The sequence below is a fragment of the Homo sapiens genome, chromosome 9 (assembly GCF_000001405.40).
Source record: "Homo sapiens chromosome 9, GRCh38.p14 Primary Assembly".
Taxonomy (NCBI): Eukaryota; Metazoa; Chordata; class Mammalia; order Primates; family Hominidae; genus Homo; species Homo sapiens.
Genome location: NC_000009.12, coordinates 131,634,655 through 131,647,607, shown reverse-complemented (window position 1 = coordinate 131,647,607; position 12,953 = coordinate 131,634,655). Strand labels below are relative to the sequence as shown.

General features: G+C 47.2%; 1 protein-coding gene across 29 annotated transcripts in view, besides 1 other annotated feature; it reads left to right on the top strand.

Annotated features, from left to right (window-relative positions):
• The window catches only part of RAPGEF1 (Rap guanine nucleotide exchange factor 1), a 163,302-nt gene that overhangs the window by 92,469 nt on the left and 57,880 nt on the right, over positions 1–12,953 (top strand). For all 29 annotated transcript variants that reach the window (NM_001377937.1, NM_001377938.1, NM_001304275.2 and 26 more), the window contains 2 exons: positions 4,191–4,369; positions 8,817–8,973. In NM_001377937.1, coding sequence (NP_001364866.1) covers positions 4,191–4,369; positions 8,817–8,973 — 336 coding nt within the window. The remainder of the gene's footprint in view (positions 1–4,190; positions 4,370–8,816; positions 8,974–12,953) is intronic.
• Positions 10,652–10,946: an enhancer, noted in NCBI's record as "tiled region #12258; K562 Activating DNase matched - State 5:Enh". NCBI's record gives its function as "activates a minimal TATA promoter and a strong SV40 promoter by Sharpr-MPRA in K562 cells {active_cell/tissue: K562}" and the evidence as "EXISTENCE:reporter gene assay evidence [ECO:0000049][PMID:27701403]".

Genomic DNA, 12,953 nt, shown 5'->3' with positions numbered 1-12,953 from the left:
AGAAACCTTGCAGTGGGTCTGTCATCTGCTGCCCTCGTTGATTATTCATTAGCTCTCTTACCACTTAGGGAGTGATTACGTACATTCTTATTTTACTTCAGGTCATATGCATGGCTTTCCCTGCTCAGATACGAGGGAAATGGAAGTGCAGGGAGATGAAAGTACAGATTCAGATTCGCTGCCACTTCCCGAGGGCTCCTTCTCGCCCCAGCCCTGTCCTGGGTGGTTTCAGACATGCTGTCTTATTTACTCCTCACCATAATTGTGTGGGGAAGCTTTTATTATTCCCACTGTGCAGACAGTGTTGGCCCTGGTGCACATTTTCTTGATCAAAATCTGTTTTTCTCACTATATTCTGTTGTCTTCCCAGACTGATTCCACATTAGCAGTCTCTTGCATCTTCTTAGTGAATTTAAAAATTCAAAGTACATTGTGATGAACTTCTAAACTTTTTTGCAACCTTTTAACAAGTCTAGCAGTGAGCTGCAGAGTGTTGAAGTTGTAGAGGAAATTTAGCCATATACTGGGTGTCCAAAGGTATAATTACAATGAGCAGTGAGCAGGGGGTCCTGGGAGGTGTTAATGCCCCATCTCTGAGGGCATTTGGACAGAGATTGGATCCGAGTGCTCTTGGGTGGATTCCTGAAAGCCTTTCCCCTTCAGCTCTTCCAGGGAGATGCTGCTGCCGGACAGCCTGGTGGCAGGTGGTGATTTGGTGCTCTCATTGTAACCAATGTCTGTGTTCGACATGTCTTCTTGCTAGGCCTCACTGTTCTGGACTAATAGGAATAATGTTGCATTGCCATTTTTTTTTTAATCCTGCAATTCTAGTTTTTTATTATACTGATTGTGACTTGCCCTCCCCCTCACTCCCTGGCTTTACCCACATTTTCAGGGTACACTGTCCTATAGTGTGGAAATGAGGCTTATGTTGCTGTGGAGAGGGGAGGCACCCAGGCTGCAGATGGGACAAGGAGTGACAGAGCAAGTCGGGTGTCCCGGCTGCGGCACGGCTGTGGGGAGAGAACTGTCTGGAGAGGAGGGCCAGTTTTCCTCACCCTCTTCCCCGCCATCTCCTGTGGCAGCACATGGCTGTGGAGCCACAGCCTGGGCGTCAGAAATGAATATGGCCCACGGGGCAGGAAAGGCGATGGGGATTTTATGTCCATCTCTGCCATCGGGGTCTTAGTTTACTCGTTTGTTAAATGAGATCTTTTTGACCAGGGGATCTCAAGTAAACTTTTTAACTTCAGCACATTTCTGATCTGGTCTTTATTCTCCTCTCTATCTCTCCAGGCTCTGAACTCAGACAGACCAAGTTCAAATTCCATATCTGTCACTACAGCTGTGTGGCCTTAGGCAAGTTGCTTAACCTCCCCCACGTCCCACTAAGCCTCAGTTTCCCCACCTGTGAAATAATAGTATCCACTTCACAGGGTGGTTGTAACCTTTAAACAAAATAGCCTATATAAAATCCATAGCACAGTGGGTGCCTCCATGTCCCCGATGAGTGGTAGCTACGATCTGGCCTCTTTCTTCCCTTTCAGATGTTCCCATCCTAGGCCCTCTTTCTCTGCTTTATTACTGGCAGGTATATGGTCTCTGGTGTTGGTATAGTGCCTGTTAAATGTTGTGAACCACTTCATATGCTTTCTCATTCAGTCCCCCACAGTCACCTCTTTAGTTACACGGGGCAGATGTTATTCTCCCCATTTTGTGGGTGACAAGCCCAAAGCCCAGCAGTTGGCTTTGTCTCTAAGCCATCCCCAGACACGGACAGCCTCATTTAGTTTCCAGGCTTATGTGGACCAATGATGGCAATCCATCCCCCACAGCAGGAGGGGTGCGCAGGTGAACGCACCTGCCCTCGGGTTATGCAGCGAGGCAGCTTCAGCAAAGCCAAGGCATGGAGTCCCCAGTCCGAGCCAGTGCTGGATGTGGCTGTGTGGCTGTGAACTCTCACTGCTGGCTGCATTCACAAGGATCCCCAGCTTGACAGCTGAAAGGCTGGAGAATGCACAACACCCAGAGGCCATTAATTCTGGGAGTAGAATCTGAGTTCACGGAGGCAGCCTGGCTGTGCTACATTGTTGGCTCCTTTAGGAGGAGCCCAGGACAGCCTGACTCTTAAACAGCTGATTTGATCTCTCTGCAATGACAGAAAAACTCTCTGCTCTGAAGTGCCTTGCCACTTTCGAGTGCCTCCCATCTTCAGATTAGCCACTTTCTCCCTGTGTGACCTGATGACACATTTTCTTAAAATGTTTCCTGTTCCTCAGCAAGTTTCATCATTGCTGGTCTCTAACACTTTCTGATGTGCTAAGGTGGCAGTGTTACTGTCATAGTCCTCTTCTTGCCTGGTTGACCATGGCTTTAGGCACATCTGAGGTCTGTCGGCACTGCGACTCCTTCACACTCAGGTTCCTCCCTGCCCCGGGCAGATGACATGAAGCAGAGAGCTCTTGTCCACGAGGTGGAAAAGTAAGCGCCCAGCCTCTTGGAAACAGACCGTAAACAAATCTGTCAGGTAGTGAAAAGAGAAAAATAAAGCCAGGGTGCAGGACCCAGGGATGGGGATGAGGAAGGGCACTTCCCCCACCATGGGAGAATTGTGTCTTCTAGTCTGCAGGACACCTTGTGGGAAAGACTCAATGAAAGAAATGACTGGGTCTTTTGTGCATTGTCTGACTAAAGTAGCCATTTATATATTTTTCTTTTGACATTCCCATGAAATAAAAGCCTCTACTATTGAACATTTTTATATTTAAAATGATATTCTGCACCTTTTTTTAAACTTTATTTTTTTAATTGAGACGGTGTGTCACTATGTTGCCCAGGCTGGTCCTGACTCCTGGGCTGAAGTGATCTGCCCACCTTGGCCTCCCAAAGTGCTGGGATTATAGGTGTGAGCCACTTCACCTGGCCAATCGGCACTATTTTAGAAGAAAAGAGCTAGTATTCAGAATCATAAGCACTTTTTATTAATTTCTACCATTTGTTTGTCTGTATATTGTTTAAATCACCTTTTTCTAGAAATTATCTTCTTGCCCTCAGTTTTTATTTATATCCTCTAGACCTCTGAGATCCTGCAGGTGGCTGTTTGCCTCATACACACCCCTCTTAATTTGCACTAGACATGTAATCGACTACTTGAGTACACTGTCCATTTTGGGATTTATCCATTCTGTAGACTACTCTTTTTTTTTTTTTTTTTAAAGGACAGCCTCCCAAACCAGAACAGGTTCAGAGACTCCACTTCTGTAGATTACTCTTAGCCTCCTTTTCCTGCCAGCCAGCTGAGACCTGGATCATTGACATCAGGGCAAGTAGAGGGGAAGTTGGAGAGAAGAACAAAAGGGGTGTGTAGACCCACCAACTGGATCCAAGGCCTCCCACGGTCAGGGAGAAAAGCTTGGGGTTGTGGCTTAAACACTGGAAAGCGCAGGGCTCTGTATTTTCCCTTTCTCTCAGGTGGGCTTCTCTCAGGAGCAGAGGGACCATGAATGCTGCTAGCGCCCACTGCATGAGTCGTGATTGAATCTTGAGAATCACGGTCATCTGCTCTGGCTTCTCTGCCTTTTCTCCCCAGATTTCCTGCCCCTTCTAGCCCTGGGAGCTTCCAGGCCCTTGAGGAATAGCATATCATTTCCTTGAGTGGGGGCTTCAGTGGGGTGAACAATCTGGGAACCTAGTGAGGAGTCCTGAGGGAATGGGTTTCAGCCCCTCATGCCCTGGACCAGTCTTACACAGTCTTTCAGATCTTTGAAACAAAAGCCTGGAGCTTCTTGATGTGATTTACAGGATACAGATGTACCATGGGCCTTGACTGGTGCTTCTCCAAGTCATCAGCAAATTAGTCCTCACTCTAGTTAACAGGGTTAGTGGTGGTCTGTCAGTGTGGCTGATGAGGACAGACAGGAGGATAAGTGGTTTTCAAGACCTCAGGGTCTGGAAAGGGAATTCAGAAATTTCTGAATGAGCTATCTTGGTCCAAGCCCCCTTCTTCCTTCAGCTCTACCCTCTGTCTCCTGATTACAATCCTTAGAAAAATGATCTGGCTTGGTTTCTGTAGCAAGAGCCTTTCCATTCCTATCGATCTCAAGCTGGTTTAAAGAAAATGTTCCTTTATTTTTTCAAAATAGCTCCCTTTAATCTCTCTCCTCCTCCTTATGCCTAACGTCTCCTTTCAGAACCTGAGCTGGCTGGAGGAGAAAGAGAAGGAAGTTGTCAGTGCCCTGCGCTACTTTAAGACCATTGTGGACAAAATGGCAATTGATAAGAAGGTACTGGAGATGCTTCCAGGGTCAGCCAGCAAGGTGCTGGAGGCCATCTTACCCCTGGTGCAGAACGATCCTCGAATTCAGCACAGGTGAGTGGCTCTGAAGTCTTTGGCTGTGTCAGAACAATGGAAGCCTTAGAAGCATCTTGGTTTGGTGGCACTGGAAACTCAAGGTTCCTAGGAACAGTCAGGAAAAGGACTCCATCACCCCTCATCCTTCCCCTGACCACTCCCCCCACAACTATCCCGTGATGCCATCTCAGAGTTGAGGTCACTATTACTCCTGAAGCCCGGGACACATCTCTGCCATCCCTAGGGATGTGGCCACAGTGTAAGTTTGTGGTCATTGCAGAACTTAACTGCGTCAAGCCAGGACGCCTCCCGGACATGGAGCCTGGATTCACTGCGGGTGGGAGGAGCCTGTTTTGAATGAAACTTTTTGAGTTTCATTATCTGTCAGGTGGAAGCTACTGTTTCCACTCATCGCCAGAGGCCCAGACTGAAGAGCACCAGCAGGGCCTCCATCTGCATGAGTCTCTTCACAGACTTCACTGCCAGGGGCTGGATTGCAGGCTCACAAGCTAAGAGTTTTTTAGTACCTTAGACCTTGGGGGTTACACAGCAGCCTGGAGGCTGCACAGGGAGGCGAAGAAGCACAAGCTGGGAGAGAGAGAAGGGACCCTATGGACCAGCGCCGCTTTTGGGGTTATTGGGTCCAGGGCGGGCCTTATCCAAACAGGCCTCCTGCAGGGAGCTTTAATTGGTGGGTTTAAAGCAAGCAGGCACGTGTTCAGGAGGCGCAGCCTTTGACTAAGAGGTGGTTGCTTTAAGTTCTCAGGCAAATGGTCTGTTTAAAGGATCAGTAGGTAAGCCAGGAGCTAGCCTGCTGGCGGGCAAAGATGCCTGTAAGTTTCTGTCTCTGGCCACCAGCTAGAGCCAGTCGGGTAGGGTGTAGTATTAGGAACCTTGTCAAGGGTTCGTGAGCCCTGCTTCTGGTATGAGAAAGCTAAACATATTTTAAAACAGATGCCGAGGCAACATAAAATTACAAGCACTCGCTGCAGGGGACATGGAGCCGGCCTTTGCCCCAAGAAGCTTTTGTTGGGTAATACTTTTATTGCTGGAGTACATTTTCCTCTTAAAGGTTAGCTAGCAGCTTGTCCTGTATTTATTGTTAAATGTAAAAAGAAAAGCACTACCAAATGTAATCTGAAATGAAAGCCTAGCAGGAGCTTTTTCTTAAGAGGCTGGCACATGTTTTGTTTTTCTTCCATGGTACCTGTTCAGGATAAATGCTTCTCTGTCGCAATTCCGCAAGATGACTTAGTGTTCATTTAGCCCCATGAGGCTAAGCTTTTATGAACTGCTTTCAGAACTTGGCAATGAAGTTCATAGTTTTCTTCTTCTGGGGGATAAAGCAAATAGTGTCTTTATTTACAAGAAACTCTCTGCCCTGGGGCTTCCTCCCTGGAGTTTCAGCTGACGCGTGGAGACTGTGGTCTTTTGGCCAGAAGCTCGCTGGCGCTGGTTGGTGACGGGAAGGAGGCAGGGCATGCTTGTCTTCACTGTCTTTCCCAGAGTCAGTCCAGCTCCGGCTCTTAGAAGTGTTCGGTGCTGGGCTCCTAGGAGCGCATGTGCTGACGTCATGCCACAGCGAGATGTATGGATTCCCTCTTAGAACATGTTTTTGTGGACCTAGTCTCATGTGGTAGTCTCTGCCTTGGAATAGTTAAAGCCTAGTTGAAACAAATCAGCTCCCTCTGTTCTACGATAAAGCACTTATTTTACGGTACAGGGAGGAAGCTGTGTTGGAGTTTGAAGAAGGGAGAGTTACAGGGGTGTTGGAGTTGATCTGATGAAGCCTCTTGACTGAGTAGTTCCTGGAGCCCGACCTGAGGGAAAGCAGCAGTTGGATTGGCAGTGGGGGCAGGAGAACAAGAGCAAAGGAACTGAGGCCACTGGGCCTGGTGTATCCCGGGGAGGGGAGGGCGGCGACTCGGGCAGTCATGGGCAGAGGGTATATGTCCTAGAGCATGGACGAGAGGGGAACAGTGGGAAGAGGCGACTGATCACCCTGCACCCTCAGGCGCTAAGCCTCTTTGGGAGAGTCCAGGATAGCGTCCCCTGGACCCTCACACCCAGAGTGTATTGCTGCTAGAAGTGTTGCTTCCCAGAGCCAGGCTCTGCTTGGAGGTCACTTGCAAACCCTGGGTAAGAACTGATGAAGTCACATGGTAATGGCTGGGGGTATTTTTTGTCTATTGAGGGGTGGCTCTTAATTGACATTGAATGTCTATAACCATTTCCTAGAGGAGAAAATGGGAAGTGCCTGGGTGTGGCTGTAAGGACCCATGAAATATGGTTTGTTTTCTGGTAGTCCTTTGACTAATCCCATTGAAGGGGTTTTCCTTCTGAAATTCTTCCAGGCTAGTGGAGGTGGTTTTCTTGGTCTCCCACAGTGATTGGAAATACCTCCTCAGATGCTCCTTTTAGATGCTTTGCATTATCTCTTTCCTCCCTAAGTGCAGTTTGCGAGCTGGAAGGTCCTTTCTCGTTTCTTCCGTGGGGCAGGGAGTGGGGGGTCCTTGCAAACAGGCCCTTTGCCGCCCTCACCTCGGTTCCTGAGACAGTGATAGGCTGGCCTCCAACAAGCAGCTGGCTCTTAGCATGAGCTTTGAATGGAGGATTCCCGAGTGAGGCACGCAGAGGCCCATGTGAGAGCGAGAGTCACACTCGTCACATGCGGAGGGCTTTGCTCCATTGTGGAACTGAGCCAGCAGCTGGGCCTCAGATGGCATTTTTTATAGTCCTCAACTTTCCTTCCTTTCTTATGTCTTAGCCCCTTGACACAGGAATATTCTGCTTCCAAGCTAATGACGGGAAGGCTGGACATAATTCCAGCACCTTCCGGGAAACGTTAGCATCCAATGCAGGTAGAAAGGAAGTAGTGAATAAAAGTGTTTCCCCTCTTTCACCTCACTGTTACCAGCAGTGTGACAGTGAGATGCTTTCTCCGGTGGAATCCTCCTACAGCACATCAGGGGAAGGCAGCAGGCTTCTTTCAAGATGCCTCACCTGGCCTTGCCAGGAAGCAGAGCGAGGTCCAGCCCAGCCGTTAGAAGCACATTCCCCTGCAGGATCAGATCAGCTCTGGTCCAACCCCCGGAGAGACTGCAGGGTCTTTGTTTTCCCCTCTCCGTCCTCTTTCCTAAGAGAGTAGTTCCAACAACAAATACTTTTCATCCATATAATCTTCTAAAATACCCAATCCTGGCTTTCTCAGGGCTCCTTTAGGAATTTTGTTTGTTTGTTTCTAATGGACTTGAAAAGTTTGCTTTCATTCCTGCCGACCCTTTTCTCCTGTTGGAACATGCAGAGTGGAACGCCTGGCTAAATGGAAACTTTAGATCCTTGCAAAAATTGTTTCCTCCTTGCCTGATTCTGAAGAGCTTCTCATTAAAGCACTATTTGGTTCACATTTTTGTTCTAAATAGCTTTGTTTTTAGAACCTGTTTTAATCATATCTTACAATATTATATATTTTCCTCAAAGTTATATCTTTGGCTCCTAAATCTGCATCATTTTGGGGTGTTTTTTTGTTTTTTGTGTGTTTTTTTGGAGTAGAGGAGGTTGCAGCACATAAATTTTCTATATTGTTGCTCTTCCTCTGTGATAATTGTTTGAAATGGAAAAATAATCCTTTCCACAATTCCTAGGGAAAATTATCTTTAGTTATTTAAAAATACGTGAAAGATGTAAAAATTCTCCATTCGGCTGCTACTCTACAATCATTGAGGCACTCAGGGCTTCTGTCTGTGGGCGCTGGCATCACAGTGTAGCTGGTAGCGTGGTCTCTCTCTCACACACACACACACACACACACACACACACTCACCTGCGTTCCCATCCTCACATCCCCACCACCATCACAGGCCCCGTCACCCCTGATTTGCTATTCTCAAAATAGTCTTCATTCGTGCGCTCCTGACGTCTGTCTCATCGTTATAGTGCAGAAGATGATGAAGCTGGCCCCGTGACGGAGGAATTCTAATAAACTGCAGACCTGTTTTGAGCTCATGACTGTTAAAATTCCGCAAACCTGTCGGCTCCTTGTGGCACATCTAAAATAGATTTGATTCTAATTGCTAACAATCAGTATACACTGCTTGGACCTGGTCTAGTGATTAGCAGCTAGAAGGAGGGGAAGATGGGGCACTCCTTGAGAGATGTGATCAGAATCTTGTAGAAGGATGTGAAGTTTGAAAAAGCATCTTAACTATCGTGGTGGAATTTTTGTAATGTTACATTTGGGAAATGAAAAAAATTTTGAAACACAGATTAGAATATAAAGCTCCACAAAATCTTTGTTGGATGTATGGAAAAAGTCTCATGGGAGAAGTTTGCTTATTAAAAGGCAGTATGGATTTTGCACAAAGAAAGTTGGAGAAACACACCCTTGTCACCGAGAAGCTGGCTCTGTGCTAAGTGATGGTCATGCTTTAGATTTTCTTTTTTTCCATTCTTCTCTTCCCTGTAGCTCAGCCCTCTCTTCCTGCTATAGCCGAGTGTACCAAAGCCTCGCCAACCTCATTCGCTGGTCTGACCAAGTGATGCTGGAAGGCGTGAACTCAGAAGACAAGGAGATGGTGACGACTGTGAAGGGGGTCATCAAGGCTGTGCTGGATGGAGTGAAGGTACCGGTGCAGGTTCCAGACAGTCCCAGTCAGGGACTTAGAGCAGCCTGCCTGCTGGTGCTTGTCACATAAGAGCTTGCTCCTGACCTTCAAACATTAGAATGTCTTTCTGCGTCTCTGGTGTTGGTGCGCTCTATCCCATAACTACTTACTTCTCTCAGGACTGGTGCGAATGGCTCTTAGGGAAAAGCTGTCTAGAGCAGTCAGCCCTTACTGAGCACTGCATTAAATCTTAGTGAGTCTTCGTAGCATCGTGCTGGCTGAGCATGCTTGCCAGCTAGACAAAATGCAATGGAGATCGTTTTCACAATGACTTTAAGCAAAGCTCCCAGCATGTCATATCAGCACTACCTTTTCATGTTCTGGGAGCTTCTAGGATTCTTGGTAGAAAAGCAGGAGTGAGATGAGTAAGAAATGGAACTTTCTGTATTTACTTGATATCCGTGATGTGGTCTGTGTATTTGCTATCCAGAGAAGTCAGAAACAGCATAAGAAATTGTGAATCCTAGTTAAGATGGGAAGCAAAGGCCATAGAAGGTCTGGAATTGGGGTCAGGGGGACAAATCCTAATAGAGAAAATAAGTCCTAGCGGATGGGAAGCAAGACAGAATGTTGGACATGAACCAGGTAAGGGCCTTTGGGTCAGGGCCAGGGCTGCAGGCAGCAGGACAGTGGAAACCCCGCTGTTGTGTGAGGCCATATAATGTAGTAGAAAGGGGCCAGCCTTAGCACCTGGCTAGATTTGAATCCCAAGTTCACCACTTCGTAGTCTATGAACTTGAACAGTTTACTCAACTGCTCTGCACCTTAAGTAACTCTTTTATGAAATAGGTATAATAATAGCATCGTGCATCTCAGGGTTATAGGGAAGATTACACTAGTCAATACACATAATGCTTCTAGAACAGCACCTGGCACATACGGAGCAGTCAGGCCTTAGCTGCTATTTATTATTAATTATGTGGTGCTAGATGCATGCTTTGTAAACAGATCTCTTGGCTTGAAAAACCTGTGTCCCTCTCCTTTCTGGACCCCTCAATCCAAAATTATAGCTGAGGTGTTTACCCCAGGTCAAAAAAAATTCCTTCCCACTCAACGAGGCTAACAAATTCCTGAAAACTGCCTCCTTGGCTTAACATTCCCCAGCAGCTCTGGAGAGTAGAATAAGGACCCCCAAAGGACTTAAATTATAGAGAGAGGCTGAGAAAGCATTGCTCAGCATTGCAAATTGCTCCAGAATGAAATATGTGTTTGCCAGGACATCTGGGTGGCCCTCCAACCCCAGCAGCATTTAAGGGGAGGCTGACGTGTCTGCTGGGGCCATAGAGTTCATGTAAAAGGGGCTTGCCTAGATGACATCAATATTTTCCTCTGAATTCTCCCATGTTCTCCTTTTTTTTTTTTTTCTCTGAGACGGAATGTCACTCTGTCACCCAGGCTGGAGTGCAGTGGTGCGATCTCGGCTCACTGCAACCTCTGCCTCCTGGGTTCAAGTGATTTTCCTGCCTCAGCCTCCCGAGATGCTGGGATTACAGGTGTGAGCCACCACACCCAGCTAATTTTATATTTTTAGTAGAGATGGGGTTTCACCATGTTGGCCAGGCTGGTCTCGAACTCCTGACCTCAGGTGATCTGCCCGCCTCGACCTCCCAAAATGTTGGGATTACAGGTGTGAGCCACTGCGCCCAGCCTCCCCATGTTCCCTTCATTCCAAAAAGTTACTAGTATCTGCTTAGGGCAGCGAGACTCAAGGATGTAGCCCAGGGTGGCTGTTGTGATCAGAGCTGATGGCCCTTTCCAGGATTTGGAGGACAGGCACGTACATTATCATATCTGGTCCTCACAGTAGCACACTGGGTTCAGCAGAGCAGAGTGGAACGTGGCCTGGGGCTTTATCAGCAGCCCTGAGTCACTCTGGCCCACCCACCCCTGCTGTTCCTGTCTAGGCTTCTGAAAATGCTATTATTGAAAATTGTTATTCTTCAGGTAACATTGTTAAGGTTTCCTTCTATCGAATTGATTCTGATGAGATGTTCACAAGTTAGAGCAGCCAAAACAGAGGAGAATGAGTTTCCACTCATAAAGCTCTGTGGCAGTCCCAAGTACATTTCCTCTATGGAGTCATTACAGCACCACTTCATTAGTAGAAAGGCATGTCTGAAAGAAAAATTTCCTTGATTTTTCAAAGTGACTGGGGAAAAAAAAAGGAGAGAGAAACCTATAGGTTATGAACTTGTCAATGTCAGAGCAAATAACTTTTCCACAATTGCTTTAAAAATATTTTAGCCAGAACAAAGATTCTCTAGGTGAGAAGCTTTACAAATTCAGTTTTGTTTCATTTATTCAAGAAGCATTTAGTGAGAACCTTCTATATGCCAGGCAATGAGAGATAATAGGAAATATGAGCAAAGCTGGCACAGACCCTGCCCTATGGCACTTACAGTCTAAGGGGGGCAGGACCGTAAACACAAAGGCACACCCATGTGGTATAGCGCTGCCAAGGAAGATGGCACAGGGTGTGATGAAAGGGTATGATGACCTTCCTTTCTCAGGGTGGTCAGAGACGCTTCCCCAAGGAAGAGACAGGCCAGCATCTGGAGGATGGACAGGAGCTGCCTGTGGCTGGGAGCTTTTCATGCTGGAGTCATTACAGACAGTGAGAGTGATCGAGACACTGTGACGCTGGCATTTGTTGTTATTGTCTAATAGTAATAACAGCTAACATTTATGGGGTGCTTTTTGTACACTGTCCTCACTTAATACTCATGACAACCCTCCATAATAGGCATAAATGGCTGCCCCTTGCCCCTTTCACAGGTGTGGAGACTCAGGCTCAGGTGGAGCAGTAGTCAGTGGCAAGGCTGTGATTCCCACCCCCAACCTGCTGCCCCCTCCCCGGCTCCTGTGCACCATGACACCCTGAGCTGCTGCCTCCCATGGGAGGACAGGATTCTCTGCACTCCCACCTCCAAGCTAGCTGGCTTCCAGCCTCTCTCACCGTCCCTTTCAGGCCTGGGACACCTTAAAAGCCCATGCCCTGGTGGCGTGAGAGAGCCTCCCCCAGCTGGGAGGGACTGGAGCTGTGCAGAAGGGAAATGCACTCATGAGGATGTTGTCAGCCCACTTGGAGGAGGGGCGTTGGACGTTCTTACACTGACTCACCGTTGTTTACGTAACCCATTCAGTTGTTCAAGGGAGTCTTTCCTCTTTTTTTTTTTTTCAAATGATTGAACATGGGTTGTAAAACAGGATTACTTTGGTTTTGTCCCTGAATGCATGGTAGCATTTATCATTTAAACCTCCACATAAATGCCACTTGTTCAAGCTGTATAACCTTGGGCAAGTTACTTCCCTGAGTTTCAAGTAGGTTTTAAAATATTTACCCTGAAGATTTGAGGAAATTCAGTAAGATAAAGTATATAAAGTACCTGGTAAGAACTAGGTGACCAGGAGGCAGTGGGGAAACAGTGTTACCTGGAGAAGTGTTCATTTCTAACGGCTCACAGTGACCATTTTTGACAGTGATTATGGCTCTTTTCCAGGTAGTCTTATCATCTCAGGTAAAAGATAGACCCCTGTCCCCTCATCTGGCTCTGGGGCTGCTTTTCCACCGGGAGCCTGTAGCTCAGAGCTGATTATGACTCTTGAAGGAAGGAAATCTGAGGAATTTAAAGACCCTCAATGTTTTTCTCTGAGAACCACACCCAGCCTAGCACCTGGATGCTGGGGGGCCGAGCCACTCGAGGCCAAAGAGATATCCCAGCATGATCTTTTGAAATCGGTACCCCACCTCTTCCCAACTTCACCAGGTAATTTACTGTGTTACTTGAGCACCAGAGCTGTATTTTGACTTGTCAACTGTTATTTAAGCCCTTCCTTCTCTGTGATCATTTTCTTTTTTTTTTTTTTTTTTTTTTTTTTGAGACGGAGTCTCACTCTTGTTGCCCAGGCTGGAGTGCAATGGCATGATCTGGGCTCAC